Source organism: Homo sapiens, chromosome 6 (genome assembly GCF_000001405.40).
Source record: "Homo sapiens chromosome 6, GRCh38.p14 Primary Assembly".
Lineage (NCBI taxonomy): Eukaryota > Metazoa > Chordata > Mammalia > Primates > Hominidae > Homo > Homo sapiens.
The window spans coordinates 29,250,627-29,267,997 of NC_000006.12; the positions used below are offsets into that span (position 1 = coordinate 29,250,627).

Consider the following 17,371-nt stretch of genomic DNA (forward strand, 5'->3'; position numbering starts at 1 on the left):
GCGGGCATTCCTTGGCCCAGTGGCCAGATTTCCGGCACTTGAAGCAAGATCCTGGGGGAGGAGGTCCTGGAGGAATGCCTGGCCACTGTGGTTTAGGCGTTTTGAAGTTCTTGTGTGCTGGAGATGTGGCTGGGGTTTCTCTCAGAGCGGAGGCAAGTAATTGCAATCCAGAAATACATTGCCGCTTGGCTGCCTCTTCTCTATTATTGTACACCTTGAAGGCAAGGTTAATTAAGTCCTGTTGTGGGGTTTGAGGGCGGAATCTAATTTTTGGAGCTTTTTCTAATGTTGGGAGTGGATTGGGTAATAAAATACATATTGAGAATAAGATGGCCTTCTGGTCCCTCTGGGTCTAGGGCGGTAAAGCATCTAAGGGTTGTTGCCAAACCAGCCACGGACTGGGCTGGGTTTTTATATTTGATGAAAAAGAGCCTAAACGCTAACCAATTTGGGAGAGGTCAGATAAAGAAAAAAGGAGCATTAATCTTGACTATGCCTTCAGCTCCGGCCACCTCTCTAAAATGAAATTGTTGGGCAGGTCGGGGAGAGCTACTTACAGAAAGAAACTGTAAGCCAGACTGGGTGTGAAGAGGTGAGGTGATAGAAGCATTATAGGGTGGGAGAGTGGAGGTTGAGGAAGAATTGGGACCTGGCTCGGCCTGGTGAGGAGCAGCCTGGGGAGGAGGGGCAAGGTCAGATGGATCTGTAGAAAAAGAGGATTCAAAGGACTCAGAGCTTGGGGTGGAGACTGAAGGAACACATAGGAGAGAAAGAAGAAATATTTGGCACGAGTTGCAATGGGAGCAGAGACTAGGGAGGGACCGATGTGTAAAGAATGCCTGGACATCAGGCACCTCAGACCATTTGCCCATTTTACAACAAAAATTATCTAGATCTTGTAGGATAGACAAATCAAAAGTGCCATTCTCTGGCCACTTGAAACTATTGTTGAGTGTGTATTGGGGCCAAGTGGTATTACAGAAGAAAATAAGATGTTTAGGTTTTAGGTCAGGTGTTAGTCGAAGGGGTTTTAGGTTTTTAAGAACACAGGCTAAGGGAGAAGAAAGGGGAATGGAGGGCAGAAGGTTGCCCATAGTGAAGGAGGTAAGTTTAAAGAGAAAAGTAGAGACACAGAGAAGGTGGGGGTGAGTAGCCGTGGGCTGTAATGTGGGTGAGCAGCCAAAGCAGGTGTCCCCACAACTGACTTGTCACCAAGGGAATGTGGGTGAATGACCAAGGCAGGCATCCTCATGGTGATCAGACACCAGTGGAATGTGGGTGAATGATTGAATGATCAAGGCTGGCGTCCCAGCAGTGATCAGACACCAATGGAATGTGGGTGAATGATCAAGGCAGGCATCCCTGTGGTGATCAGACACCAATGGAATGTAGATGAATGATCAAGGCAGGCATCCCCGCTATGATCAGACACCGAGGGAAGACCATCTTCCCATATCCGTGACCGACGTCGGAGTTTTTGAGTTCACGGATAAAATGTGTCTCCTTTGTTTCCACTAGAGAGGAAAAAGAACTGGAATTGGAAGAACAGGGAGATTGAAGGGTAGCGAGAGAAGCTGGAGAAGAGTGAAGAGACTGCTTACCTGATTTGAAATTGGTGAGATGTTCCTTGGGCTGGTCTGAGGACCTGAGGTTGTAGGTGGATTTCCTCACGGAGTGAGGGTGAGGACAGGGGGCTAGTCTCCTGGAGCAGTCCCCCTGTCCCAGGTCTTCGGCACCAAATGTTATGTGTGTCCACGTGAAGAGACCACCAGACAGGCTTTGTGTGAGCAATAAAGCTTCTTAATCACCTGGGCATAGGCAGAATGAGTCCAAAACAGAAGTCAGCAAAGGGAGATAGGGGTGGGGCAGTTTTATAGGATTTGGGTAGGTAGTGGAAAATTATAGTTAAAGGGGGTTGTTCTCTTGCATGCAGGTGCAGCAGTCGCAAGGTGCTCAATGGGGAGCTCCTGAGATTCATTGTCCGGGAAAAGGAATGTCACAGGGTCAATTGATCAGTTAGGGTGGGGCAGGAACAAATCACAATGGTGGAATGTCATAAGTTAAGGCAGCAACTGGCTATTTTCACTTCTTTTGTAGTTCTTCAGTTGCTTCAGGCCATCTGGATGTATATGTGCAGGTCACAGGGGATATGATGGCTTAGCTTGGTCTCAGAGGCCTTACACTCCCTAACTCATCTTATGAGGCCAGCATCACTCTGATACCAAAGCCTAGCAGAGGCACAACAAAAAAAAAATTTTAGGCCAATATGCTTGATGAACATGGGTGCAAAAATCCTCAGCAAAATGCTAGCAAACTGGATCCAGCAGCATATCAAAAACTTAATCCACCACAATCAAGTAGGCTTTATTTCTGGGATGCGAGGTTGGTTCATCACCCACACATCAATAAATGTGATTCACTACATAAACAGAACTAAAAGCAAAAACCATGTGATAATCTCAACAGACAGAAATGGCTTTTGATGAAATTCAACATCCCTTCATGTTAAAAACCCTCAACACACCAGACATTGAAGAAACATTCCTCAAAATATTGAGAGCTATGTATGACAAACCTGCAGCCAACATCATACTACATGGGCAAGAGCTGGAATTATTCCCCTTGAGAACCAGAACAAGACAAGGATGTCCCCTCTCATTACTCCTATTCCAAATAGTACTGGAAGTCCTAGCCAGAGCAATCAGGCAAGAGAAATAAATCAGGCAAGAGAAAGAAATAAAAGTCATCCAAATAGGAAGAGGGAAAGTCAAACGATCTCTCTTCAGAGATGATATGATTATATACCTAGAAAACTCCACTCTCTGCCAAAAGGCTCCTAGATCTGATAAACGATTTCAGAAAAGTTTCAGAATACACAATGAATGTGCAACTATTAGTAGCATTTATATACACCAATAACATCCAAGCTGAAAGCCAAATAAAAATGCAATCCATTTACCATAGCCACAGAAAGAATGAAATACCTAGGAATACAGCTAACCAGGGAAGTGAAAGATCTCTGCAATGAGAATTAAAAAACACTGCTGAAAACCAGAGATAACATAAACATATGGAACAGCTTTTCATGCTCATGGATAGGAAGAATCAGTATTGTTAAATGGGCATACTGCCCAAAGCAATTTACAGATTCAATGGTACTACTAGTGTGAAAGGAAAATGTCTTGAGCCCCCCAAATCACTAAGGAAAACTCAAGCTGGAAACCGCTTAGGGCAAACCTGCCTCCCATTCTATTCAAAGTCAACCCTCTGCTCAGTGAGAGAGAATCATATCTAATTACCTCCTTTGGAAAGGCTAATCAGAAACTCAAAAGAATGTAATCGTTTGTGTATCACCTAGTGTAACCTGGGAGCTCCCTCTCTGCTTTGAGTCTTCTTTCCTTTGCTTCAAGTTGTCCCACCTTTCCAGACCAAACCACTGTACTTCTTACATATATAGATTGATGTCTCATGTCTCCCTAAAATGTGTAAAACCAAGCTGTGCCCTGACCACCTTGGGCACATGTCATCAGGACTTCCTGAGGCTGTCACAAGTGCTTCCTCAACCTTGGCAAAATAAACTTTCTAAATTAATGGAGACCTGTCTCAGACTTTCTGGGTTCACACTAGCAATCTACCAATAACATTTTTCACAGAATTAGAAAAAAAATGATTCTAAAATTTATATCAAACAGCAACAACAAAAAAGCCTGAATAGTCAAAGCAACCCTAAGCAAAAACAAACAAACAAAAAACACAAAACCAAACACACACACACACACACACACACACAAAACAAAGCTGGAGGCATCACATTACCTGACTTCAAGCTATACTGCAAGGCTACCATAATTAAAACAACATGGTACTGGTACAAAAACAGACTCATAGATCAATGGAATCAGTTAGAGAACCCAGGAATAAAGCCTCACACTTACAGTAATCTGATCTTTGACAAAGCCAACAATAATAAGCAATGGGGAATGACTCTGTATTCAGTAAATGGCGCTGAAAAAACTGGACGGCCATAATCAGAATATCGAAGCTGGACAACTACTTTTCACTATATACAAAAATCAACTCAAGATGGGTTAAAGACTAAACTGTAGAACCTAAAAGTGTAAAAATCCTAGAAGAAAACCTAGGAAATGCCATTCTGTACATCGGCCCTGACAAATACTTTATAATGAAGACTCCAAAAGCAATTGCAACAAAACAAAAATTCACAAGTATGACCTAATTAAACTAAAGAGCTTCTGCACAGCAAAAGAAACTATCAACAGGATATGCAGACAACCTATAGGATGGGAGAAAATATTTGCAAAGTATATCTGACAAAAGTCTAATATCCAGAATCTATAAAGAACTTAAATCAACAAGCAAAGAAAAGGGAATGCTTATACACTACTGGTGGGAATGTAAATTAGTTCAGCCACTGTGAAAAGCAGTCGGAGATTTCTCAAAAAACTTAAAACATAACTACTATTTGACTCAGCAATCCCATTACTTATATATCCAAAGGAATATAAATCATTTAGCCATAAAGACATATGCATGTATATGTTAACTGTAGCACTATTCACAATAGCAAAGACATGGAATCAACTTAGATTGCCATCAATGGTGGACTGGATTTAAAAAATGTGGTTGGCTGGGTGTGGTGGCTCACGCCTGTAATCCCAGCACTTTGGGAGGCCGAGGCGGGCAGATCAGGAGGTCAAGAGATCGAGACCATCCTGGGCAACATAATGAAACCCAACTACTAAAAATTAAAAAATTAGCTGGGAGTGGTGGTGCGCACCTGTAGTCCCAGCTACTTTGGAGGCGGAGGCAGGAGAATCACTTGAACCTGGGAGGCAGAGGTTGCAGTGAGCCAAGATTGCGCCACTGCACTCCAGCCTGGTGACAGAGTGAGACTTCGTCTCAGAAAAAAAAATAAATGTGGTTCATTTTTGAGGGATAGTTTTCCTGGATATAAGACTCTTGGTTCAACGTTCTTTTAGAACTTTGGCTGTCATCCCCACTGCCTTCTAGTCTCCAGTATTTCTGATGAGAAGTCAGATGATAATCTTACTGAGGTTCTCTTGTACATGATGAGTCATTTTCCTCTTGCTGCTTTCAAAACTGTCTCTTTGACTCTAGCTTTTAGTGTTCCTATTATGATGCAACTGAATGTGAATATTTTTACATTAATCCTATTTAGAGAAAGGAGCTTTTTAGATATATAATTTTTTTCATCAACTTTAATGTTTCAGCAATTAATTCTTTGAATATTTTTTTAACTTGCTTCTCTCTGCTCCTTTGATACTTCCATTATGTGTACTTTGGTGTCATCAGTGGTATTCCATACTTGTCTGAGGATCTGTTCATTTTATTTTTTTCTTGTTGCTCAGATTGCATAATCTCTATCAGCCTATCTTCAAGTTCACTGATTCTTTCTTCCATCAGTTCAAATCTACTGTTGAGCTCCTCTAGTGAAGTTTTCACTGTGCTTTTCAACTCTAAAGTTTCCATTTGTTTCATTTTTAAAATACTTTATCTCCCTTTTTAGTAGTCTCTATTTGATGAGACACTCTTATCATACCTTCTTTTACTTCTTTAAGCATGATTTTATTTCCTTGAACATATTTATATTGGTTGTTTTGATCTATGATAAATCTGACATTTGGGGCCTCTCACTGGCAGTTTCTATTGTCTGCTCGTTTACTTGTGTATCAGTCATGCTTTCCTATTTTTTTACAAGTCTCATAGTTTTTTTGTTGAAAACTAGACATTTGAGTAATATAATGTTACTAAATTAAAACTAGACATTGTAGTAACTTTGTATACTGACTCCCCGTCCTGGGTCTTGTTTTATTTTTTGTTTGTTAGTGACTTGGCCAGGCTATTTTAGTAAATTTCCTCCACAGTGTGAAGCCTCTGGTGTTACCCTTCAGAGAGCACAGCCTTGGGCATGGACATAAACAACCTGGGATGAGAATAGTTTGAGCAGGGCTTTGGATGTCTTGTCTTTGCAATGTCATTTGCTGATTTTTGTTAACCAGTCTTCGTCATTTGGTATTATACTCAGCTGGGAGGATCCATTAATTGCTGGCTGGGTGCTCTATTGGTTTTGATAATGCCCTGGGGACATAAATTGCTCCACAGTGTGATCTAATTTTGCAGGGGTAGTTCTTGAGGTCACTTTTTGAGATTTGTTCTGACCCCAGAAAAGCTCTTTCCCTGGTTGTCACTGGTAAACTCACTGTTTTATGGCCTAGCTTGTTGTCTCATAGAGTCTCAGCCTTGTCTTAACTCCTTAGCACCAAATATTCATTGTTTTTTAATGTACCCTTAGGCTTGAACTTTCAACACTCTGCTTCAAATACAGTCAGTTTCTTTGGACAGAGCTTTTGAATGTTCTGTTCTTCCCCTGTCCCTAGACAAAACCTTCTATGCCACTGTTCCAAGGGCAGTGCACTGAAGAGTGGTAGCTTTTACTTTTCTTTGCTTGCCTCTCCCAGTGTTGGACCTCTGTTTATGAGTGAGCTAGGGCAAAGGTGATAAGAGTTCCAGTATTCTTGGCTCAACATGCTTGGCATAGGGTATCCACCTTATGTATGGAGTGCAGGAAGGTAGCCCCAGTCTTTTGTTTAGATCTCTGGGAATGTAGCCTTGACAACTCAGAAGTGAAAGTGATAAGAAATGCTGGCATTCTGCCCCTCTCAGTGAGATACTATATTCCTTGACTGGGAGCTGAGGGGAAAGGAATCCTTTTCTTCTTGGCCACACCTGTCCAGAGTGGAGCTTCCATCACACTGAGCTGGGTAGGAAAGCAGGCTGTGGCTCAAGTGCCATAGACTCTTGCTCTTCTTAGTGAGATTTAGTAGAGTATCTTGAATAAGTATTACTTCATTTGTTGTTTTCTCTTAAGACAATTTTCAGAGACTTGGAATTAAAAAAATTGTATCAGTCATGGTTGTTTTACAGGGCAATGAGCCACACCACCATTATGGAAGTGCCATTATAATTTATGAACATTTCTTTAAAAATCATAACTGATTAAAAGTATTTATAAATCAAAATATGAACATGTTATTATTTTTCAGATATTATCAAAACAAAATTTGAGAAAAAGGATATATCATAAATTTTAATAGAAAATTCAATGATGGATAAACCACGTGGTTCGATAGGACCCAAACGAAACCATTAATATACATAGCAGAAAAATACTGCTTTTCTTAATAAAAATAGCTTTTGACTTTTTATTTCCCCAAAATTAAAAATGTTTCTACAAAAAATGGGCAAATATCCTAAAAGACATTTTGGAAAAAAAGAAATAAACACATATGAAAATAATTTCAATCCTATTCTAATTAGTAAGTTGAAATTGAAAAGTTGAGGCATTTTTTTGTCCTGAAATGGCTTATATTTAAGTGACTGTTAGGAACCAACCATGTTGCAAATGTTTAGAAAATGATCAGTTTCATAATCTATGTGGAGAAGGATAAATTCTTTTTGTAAGACAATTTGCTGTTATCTTTCACAATAAAAATGTACATAAAAATATTTTGAACTAACTTTGATTAATTTCATTTCTAGGAGTTTATTCTGCATGCATCCTAAAATATTTGTGAAACATTACTTTCATGTAAAAAATTGGAAACAGCACACATGATCATCAAGAACGAGCTAGTTAACTGAATATTATATACATTTAACATAATTACACAAGTTTGCATATACTCATATAGAAACAGGGTCAAATTATATTCGTAATTAAAAGTGGTAGAGCATTGAATATATCGTATTTCATTTGAATGATATAATGCAGCATAATTTGTCTTACTGCGACATTATTGGTTTTTGGAGGGTGATGTGCCTCATGTTAGAAGAGTTACATATTTAATTTTCACTTTATACTCTAATAAATATATTCTTTATATATGTAACAAAATTTGAATTATTCAAAATAACTTAAAATTTGAAAATAATTAAGCAATTTATTTTGATTCTGTTACTTAGGTTTGACAAACAACATAGTAAAGGACATATCTTTTTATATAATTCCCAAAGCATTAATGTGATTAAAGGATGTGTGTTTTATCATATACAGTGTCTACCATTGTCTGAGGTGCTTTGATTCTACAACTTAAAACTTTCCAGCTGCTGCAGTTTCTGACTGCACAATATTATACTCACAAAATTAAAATCATTACCAAATGATTTTCTTACAATATGTCAAACAATTTAGTGAGTTAAAAATAGATGTGATTTAAAAAAGTAAAATAAAAAAAGATTCTTGAAAAATATGCATTTTGGTTTAGATCCTTGTCTTAGTCAAATTAAAAAAGAAAACAAAACCTATTAGAGTCTACTAGATCAATGCACTCTTTGTGGCTTAAATTTGTTTGTGTAAGTTCTACTACTAGCTATTTACTGCTAAACTCACTTTCTCACTAATGGTTTGCTCATAAATTTTTTCTTCTAACAAAAAACGTATCAGTTCAAATAAAAAGATGAGAAGTTTTCTTTTCTCAGATGTTTGGTTATTCTTCTTGAAAGCAGACAATTCACTATAAATTACTTTCAAGGGCTTTGGTTTCCTATATTTTTACTGCATTTCTCCTCAACTTCCAAGTTAAAACTAAGATACAACTTGACATTTATTTTTCTGAAGCATCATGTGCATTACGGCTTTTATATTCTAAAGGTGTGAGAAAGGAAAAATGGAGCACACATTGGGAATGTTGACGCTGGATTGTGCTTTTATCTGTAGTTATTCATGTTTCAGGCAGTTCATTCCTACTTTCTGAGAAATTGATGAGTTGTTGTGTTTGTCCTTGCTATCTGTCTTTCTGGATAATGGGAAAATTCTCAAGGATTCTGAATAAGAGACTCATATTTGATGTTTAAAGTCAAAGGAGGAGCAAGGGAGATTTTCACATAAGCAGTTATTTACCAGAGGGAAGGGCAGGGCCCAAGGGATCTCATTATGAAGTGAATGGAATTACTGGCATTGATGATCTCACTTTGTTCCTATCCCAAAAGATTCTGTTACTTTAGATTTTAACTTCTCCCAATGCTATGTGAAGCAATTAAAACGTTTCAGATAAATTTCATAGTAGTTCGTACAGCAAAATTACTTTTAGAGTTTTTTCTCTTCAAGGAAATACACAATAAAATAATTAACTGTTCAGAATGAAAGTGAACTAGCTAAAACTCAACCCAATGTCTTTCATTTTCAGACACTAGGAATTCGTCAAAGCAACCAGATCACCAGGGACTAGCAACAATATCTAATAACCCCCTTCTTCAGGGATGATTAGCTAGTTAAGTGCCTGGAATGTCTCTGTAGACAAGACTTGAGGGAAAAAGCTTTAATATTATGTTGCTTCATTGCCAGATCTATTCATAAAGGGATTATTCTACCTCTCAGATGAGAAAATCTGAATCTGCAAACTGGCTTAATATGGAAACTGGGTAAAAAGCCATGAATCCCTATTATATTGTTTCAAGTTATGTTTCTGTCTCCACACCTAGAATTTTTTCTGCTAATATACTCCAGCTAACATCTTAGTAGGTATCTTAGTCCATTTGGGTTGCTATAACAAAATACCATAAACTGGGTAGCTAATAAACAAAAAAAATTTACTTATCATAGTTCTAGAAGTTAGGAAGTCTGACATTAAGGTTCTGGCAGATTGGTGTCTGGTGAAGGCCCCTTTATGGTTCACAGATGGTGTCTTCTCACTGTGTCTTCACATGGTGGAAGAGACAAAGCAGCTCTCTGAGGCCTCTTCTATAAAGGCATGAATTCCATTCAAGAAGGCTGTGCCCTCATGATTTAATCACCTCCCAAGGGCCTACCTGCTAACACCATCACACTGGTGATTAGGTTTTAACATGTTTTGGGGGACACAGACATTCACAATACAGTGGTAGGTTACCCAAATATTGTGTTTTTAAGTACCGTTTGATAAACTGTGTATCACTACAGGTCCCTGTAGGTCACAATACCCTAGTCAATGTGACTTACTTGTAGTAACTACTTCCACTTTGTCTATGATGGTGTCACTTCCTGGCATTTAATTTTCCAGAATTATCATTTTTCTCAAGACCATATAATCCAATTTCAGTTTCATTCCCCACCATCAGCTCTGCACCAAAGAATTCAGATGCCACAGAGCATTTTAAGACCACTGATGCCCTCCTCACTGATCCATTTCTTAATGCTATAGGGAAGAAAATGTCTTCCAATCTTATAGCACAGGGTCTTATGTACAGAGGGCAGATGGCCATACTGTATTAGATTACAAAATCTCTATTGACTACTGATTCCTTATTTTACAAGGTACTGTGGAAATTCTAGCTTTTCAACCTCATTAGCTATAGGCTATCTCTGAGTTCAAGCTTCAGTGAGCTAATGTGAAAGAAGATCAATAACACTTTCAGGAGTTTGAGCCAATGCTTGTATCCTGTGCTCTGGGTGATAGCACTCATGTCATTAAATTCAGTTCATTCAAGCTCTGTATTTCATATTCCTTGACATCCACCCCCAAACATACTCTTAAAGTTCTCATCTATATCGTAAGAAACTGCATATCTTTTTTTGTTAATAGACCATGTTATTATGGAGCAGTATTTGTGTTTAACCGTATCTCTTTGTTGTTATAATTTTCCCTGATGATTGGTGAAGTTGGGCACATTTTCATGTGTTGGCCATATGGCTATCCTCTTTTGTGAAGTGATTGTTCTATCACATTGTTTGTGTTTTTTCTTACTGATTTGTAGAAATTCTTTTTATATTCTGAATAGTTCTTACACACACACACACATTGCCTCTCTTAATGGACCTCCTTTATATATTTGATTTGTTAATATTTAGGGATGTTTGCAACTGTGTTTATGAAAGATACTGATAAACATTTTTTATTTTTTTGTAAATCCTTGTAATGTTTTTAAGTCTAGCTTATGCTGGCCTTATAAAAAGAATTAATGAATACAAAATGTTTACTTACTACCAACTTATATAAAAAAGATTAGTGAAGTTGTTGAATGAACACAAAAATTTAAAACTAAGAATGATTTATTAACATTGTAACCATATCAACATCCATATCCAATCTAGTCCTACATTTTATTTTAGTAGCAAAATTTTGAGAAAGTCCAGATTCCTGCAGCAAATAGCTACAAATAGAAGTATATTTTAGACCAGTAACCTAATATGTCTTAAAATAGGTAGAGATGGCAGGAGTATTTGGAATCTAAACAAAAATGTTTTAATCTTAATAGGAACAGATGAATGGTGAATTATAGCCAAAACTCATAGTTAACACATGAATTAATGAATTTTTGTTATAGTATAATAGTTTAATTATATTTAAAATTATTAAATAATATAAATTATAATCTGAATTTAATCTTTATAAAATGCTCCCCCGTACCCCAGTTGACATAACCCTTAGACTTTACGGAACCTGTTTTGTTGCCACAACTGTAGATGAATCATCCAAGATAATAAGTAGTGTTTTTGAAAGACATTTTTAATTTTTTAAAGAATGAACCCTTGACAATGAGGGACATTGATACTAAAATACAAGCAAAATTTTTAGGTATTTTCTTTTTCAGATGATGACTACTACTAAAATAAGTTGACTATAATTTAAAGGTTAGACAAAGATAATTTCTTTATTGGGAATTTCTTTTTTTATTTTTTTTTTTGTTTGTTTTTGATTCGGAGTCTCGCTCTGTCGCCTAGGCTGGAGTGCAGTGTAGCGATCGCGGCTCACTGCAAGCTCCGCCTCCCGGGTTCACGCCATTCTCCTGCCTCAGCCTCCAGAGTAGCTGGGACTTCAGGTGCGAATTTTTTGTATTTTTAGTAGAGATGGGGTTTCACCATGTTAGCCAGGAGGGTCTCGATCTCCTGACCTTGTGATCCCCCTGCCTCGGCCTCCCACAGTGCTGGGATTACAGGCGTTAGCCACCGTGCCCGGCCAGGAATTTCTTGTAAAAAGATGTTAGTGACCTATTGTGTCTCCAGAACCTTTTTCTTTTCCAATAAGCCTTTTCATGGCCCACTTGAACTCCTTATTCCTTAGTGGGATGGGTTCAAGGTGGGAGTAACAATGGAGTAAAATATATGGAGAAGTTTGCCCTCATCCTGAGATGGACTGTTTCCTGGCTCTATATACCTATATCTAACAGTCCCATAGAAGATGGATACCACAATGAGATGGGAGAAACAGGTCCCAAATGCTTTTTGTCTTCCTGCTGCAGACTTGATCTTGAGTACAGCCATAGCAATGAAGCCATATGACACAAGAATGAGAAGAAGTGATGCAAGGAAAATGAAAACAACAACAACAACACAATGCAAATAAGGTTTCTGACAGAGCAGGAGCATCACCATCTTGGACAAGCCCCTTATTCTATAGTTCATTTTAATAAAAAACCACCTAATCCAAAGGGCCTCAGCCTAATGGCTAAGGTCAGCACGACCATAAACCACAAATAACATCCCAACCAGAAACCTTCCAAACTCCTCCCCGACCAGAGTCATGCTAGCCTCTAGATAAGCCCTCTCAAGCTGGGAAGATGCTAGCCCAGAGATAACCCCCCTCCAGGCCAGAAAGATGTCTGCCCCAAGATAACCTCCCCTCTTCCCAGAGAGATTCCAACCCCGCCATAAACTTCTCCACACACATAAACATTCCAAGCTTGTAATAAGCCCCCTCACCCTAAAACCAATATATGTTCTTAGCCCCCTCACCCTAAAACCAATATATGGAATCAGCCAGGAGTGCTGTCAGGTTTTAATTAAGGAAAACCTGTCTTTAACTGCCAGCCACGTTTCGTGTTTCTTTCTTCTTTCTTTAACTCTTACAGTTTCCTCCATGACTGTGGTAGCCCCACATGCAATTTTGACCATTGCAGATATTTCACAAAAATAGTGATCCAGGTGGTGGTCTCCGCATCGAGGAAGACTCACAGGACAGGGGGAAAGTATCATGCAATTAGTGACACCAATTAACCAGGTCATGGCCACCAGGCCTTGACAGAGTTGGGGGTTCATTATGGTCATATAGTCCAGAGGCTTGCAGACAGCATTGAATGGGTCATATGACATCACAGCCAGAAGCATACATTCAACCGTGCATAGCGTCACATTAGTGAAAAGTTGAAAAGCACAGCCACCAAAAGTGATTTTCTTGTCTTTACCCCAGGCATTGACCAACATCTGTGGGACTATATTTGTGGTGTAACAAAGATCCAAGATAGCCAGATTTCTAAGAAAGAAATATATGGGGGTTTGGAGATGTTTATCCAGTAATGGCAGCAGGATAAGGACCATATTTCCCATCAAAGAAATTGCATAGAAGAAAAAGACAACCCCAGAGATGATCATCTCCAGCTGAGGCTTCCCAGGGAACCCAAGGAGCATAAGCCAACCAAAGTAACTATCATTGATCATTTTTGCTATTTTCTGAATATCAGCTGTGAAAATTTAAAAAATAGTCAACATTTTGGAAGCCATAATGAATATATTTAGATATAATATTAGCAGTATATATAGCTAGGAAAAGTACATAATGGGATTGAAAGAAAATATAAGTATTTTATATTTCACCATTGTTCTAATGTTTTATCTGTTTATCCAACTAAGTGTAAAATTTATACCCAGGGCAATTTGCCTTACAAGGTCTATATTCTCAATTACATTGTATATTTCTATACCAAGGCAAAAAAAAAAAAATCTACAAAAATCTCAAAGGTGAATCATGAGCAAAATGGCTAAATAAAACTGGATGGATCTCCCCTTATTAAAAAGGATATTACGAAGGGGTTAGAAATCTGTTACAAGTTATCACCTCCTTTAGCCAAGGGTTCATAGAGAATGCAGGTTTTATACCTTTTATGCCTTTTTTCTAATATTTAAGCTGAACAGTTTTAATCCTGCTGTCCACCTTCACTCTGCTATGTAAATCTTCTGACCTTAAATTTTTAAAATTCAAACTTTTTTCTTTCATCTCAAAACTTGTATTTCCAAATATTATTTGCCTTTCCTTTCCAACTCCCTTGAGACAGCCAGGTGGGAGGTGTTCCCTGGAGAAACTCCAACCAGCCTGCCCACTGAGGTGGAGCCTCCAGAAGTTCATGATGTTTGCCACAGGAAGGAGCCTGGCTCCTCCTTTTCCTGTGTGGAACCTGGGATTCAAACACCTGGTCGGGAAGCACTGTAGCAGGGACTCTGGCCTTCCAAGAGCCCGTGTTTCCCCCTTTACACCCAATAAAATCCTGTCTTACTCACCATTTAAGTTGTGAGTCTGAATTTTCATGGCCATGGGACAAAGAACCCCCTTTTTAGCTGAACTAAGGAAAAGTCCTGCAATATTTTTTGGCACACAATGTGAGGGTTTGAGAAGCAATGAGTGAGGTGCAAACTCACAGTTCCACATGGCTGGGGAGGCCTCACAATCATGGCAGAAGGTGAAGGAGGAGCAAAGTCACATCTTACATGGCATCAGGCAAGAAGAGTGTGCAGGGAAAATTCCCTTTATAAAACCATCAGATCTTGTGAGACTTATTTACTATCACGACAACAGCATGGGAAAGACCCATTCCCATGATTCAGTTACCTCTCACTGGGTCCCTCCCATGCTCCCATGCAGGAATTATGGGAGCTACAACTGAAGATGAGATTTGGGTGGGGACACAGCCAAACCACATCAAACACTGAAATAGAAAAAAAAAGACTTGAAACAAACCCACAGATCTGTGGAAATTTATTTATGACAAAGACAACACTACAGAAGAATAGAGAAAAATTATAATTTTCAATATATGGTGCTGGACCAATGGGATATTAATTAAAAAAATAAATTTGTCCCAACTTATACTGTGTATAAACATCTATTCCAGATAGATTGTAGATTTAGATGTGAAAGGGAAAAAGTATCTTCTAGAATAGGGTACGGAAACTTTTTTGGAAAGGCCAGATAGTAAATATTTTAGGCATTGTGTGTCATCAGGTCTCGGTCACAACTACTCAACTCTGTAGTTGTAGTGCTAAAGCAGCCATAGACAAAAGTAAGTAACTGGGTGTGGCTGTGTTCCTATAAAACTTTATAAAACAGACACAAGTGGCCCACTGGCTACAGTTTCCCAACTCCTGTTTTAGAAATCAATATGAAATAATAACTTTATGGTATTATTAGGTATTATTAGGAAGAGGAATTATTTCTGTAACTGGTCTTAAAAATCACTGACAGGTAAAAAATGATGAATACACTTCAATCATTGAAACTACAAAATTCTGTTCATCAGGTGACACCATTAGGAGTCAAAAGACAAATCACAGAAAAGGAAGAGATATTTTTAGTGCTTGTGCTTGTTAAAAGGCATATCCAGAACATATAAATACTTCATATCAATAAGAAAAATAGTAAAAAATTGCAAAAACCTGAATAGATAAATCTCAAAGGGTAAACATAAGTGGCCAATGCATTTGTGAAATGGATGGTGCTCGTTTGCTTCAATAATCATAAAAGCAAAAATTATACCCATCATGCACTCACATCAGATTGACTAAAATTAAAAAGAAACCTAAGAAAACCAAATATTGATGAAGATGTAGAGCAATGGAAACACATACACTGATAAGTGTTTAATATGGTGCAACCACTCTGGAAAATTTTGGCAGTGTTTCAAAAAACCTGAGTACAAATATACAATGAGGATATATATACATATGCAAGATGAGCCAAAATACATGCATAAAATATTCTAAGCAGAATTGTTTCTGAGGTTTGAAAACGTGAAAAACTATAATTTTTATGAAGACAGAATAAATAAATAAGTTGTATATGTATATTATGAAGTATTTACAGCTGTGGAAATAAGTGAAGTACAGAAATGCTTAATGCATAGATGAATCTTAAAAATATAATGTTATTTGAAAGAATTCAAGTACAACAGAATCCATGTATATAAAAATTAAAAAAATTAAACCATATTATTTGGAGATGCATAGTTAGGTAAGACATCTGTAAAGGAAAGGAAAAGTGTGAAATCTATATATGTAAGAATAATAATTAATGTTGAGAGAGAAGGATAGGGATTATAACCATGAAGCGGCACTTTGGCCACCTCTGAGTACATTTTTCTAAAACTTGACTTGGGTGGGCTTTTGGGTGTTCCATCACAGTGTATTGTACAATAATTCTTTAAGGTGTACATTTATGTTCTTTTGATCTGAAAATTTCTCCTGTCTGCTTTTGGTAACTTCCTTTTCTCTGTTTTCTCTCTCTTCTATTTTTTGAAAGATGTTGGAATTCCTGGAAAATGTGGCGTTCTTAATAGTCATAAAAGTACTAAATATATACTGCAAAATGCTAGGTGTGTCTCTGAGATTTAGGACAACTTCTGAAAGTACTGTCATTAACGGAGAAGCTGGAATAAAAAGAAAAGTCACTCCAGAGCTTAAGTAGTTCCTACAAGTATCTCAATTTATGATGCTTCAAAACAGCTATTGAAACAATTTTACTTTAACTTATCTAATGGAGTATTTAGACTTCAAAATCCTATTAAGTTCATTTTTCATCCTCAAGAACTACAAAAATATCAAAATCAAATATTCTAGATTTTTCATTTTATTTAAGTTTTCTACTTTCTCAAGGGAGAAAGAGGGTATAAGGAATAAAATTAATCACTCTAGCTTTTTTAATAAAAAGTCTTTTTGGCATGAATGGAATTATGTGACTGTATAAATAACTAGGACATGAGCAAGAGATGGAGCAAGAAAAAGTGATATTGGATATTGGATCAGAAACATAAAGGAAGTTTTCAAAAATTCTTTTTCAAGTTACAAGTTGGTAACATAGCTCTGAACTATCCCATGAATCAACATTTATCTTCAAGACAAAAATCAAATTTATCTTCAGTCAAAATATGGAAAGGATAATAACTCAACAAAAATGAGAAAGAAATGCATTTAAAAACACACTTCAGAAAAAGACAGAAAGACCATTTCAATAGCCAAATAAATCACCTTTCTATGTGTCAGTTTTCTTGAAGCACTCAGAGAAAAAATGTAGAACATCTAAAACCAGGTGACATGGCAATACCTCCATGCTCATCCCCAAAATAAGTAGTAAAAACTTGGAAGGCCAAGTGGGAAAGAAAAAAGCATTATCTTAAAGATGATTATTGGAACTGATAAAAATATTTTTCTTTTGTGATCACAAAAATTGAGCTCCTTGAGTAATTATCTAAGCAGAGAAAGATAGGGGGAAATTACTGTGGTTAATTAACATGAGATCTTTTCAAAGATGATTGATAACTAGAACTCTTGGTCTTCTTGGTTAACGACTAGCTTTGCTGCTGTCATCTT

At 37.5% G+C, this 17,371-nt stretch overlaps 1 long non-coding RNA gene and 1 pseudogene across 2 annotated transcripts in view, besides 1 other annotated feature; one reads left to right on the plus strand and one right to left on the minus strand.

Annotated features, from left to right (window-relative positions):
* LINC03003 (long intergenic non-protein coding RNA 3003) overlaps positions 1-17,371 on the plus strand; it is a 66,468-nt gene that overhangs the window by 26,654 nt on the left and 22,443 nt on the right. The window contains exons 2-3 of one of the 2 annotated variants that reach the window (NR_134629.1): positions 13,206-13,435; positions 16,305-16,459. The exons of the other annotated variant lie outside the window; for it this stretch is intronic. This is a non-coding gene — a long non-coding RNA (long intergenic non-protein coding RNA 3003). Of the gene's footprint in view, positions 1-13,205; positions 13,436-16,304; positions 16,460-17,371 lie in introns of those variants that run through there. 2 annotated transcript variants of the gene reach the window in all.
* Positions 696-1,895: an enhancer, noted in NCBI's record as "CDK7 strongly-dependent group 2 enhancer chr6:29219099-29220298 (GRCh37/hg19 assembly coordinates)". NCBI's record gives its function as "activates an origin of replication core promoter dependent on BRD2, BRD4, P300/CBP, MED14 and CDK7 cofactors, with strong dependence on CDK7, by STARR-seq in HCT116 cells {active_cell/tissue: HCT116}" and the evidence as "EXISTENCE:reporter gene assay evidence [ECO:0000049][PMID:35650434]".
* OR2U1P (olfactory receptor family 2 subfamily U member 1 pseudogene) lies at positions 12,033-13,453 on the minus strand (annotated as a pseudogene).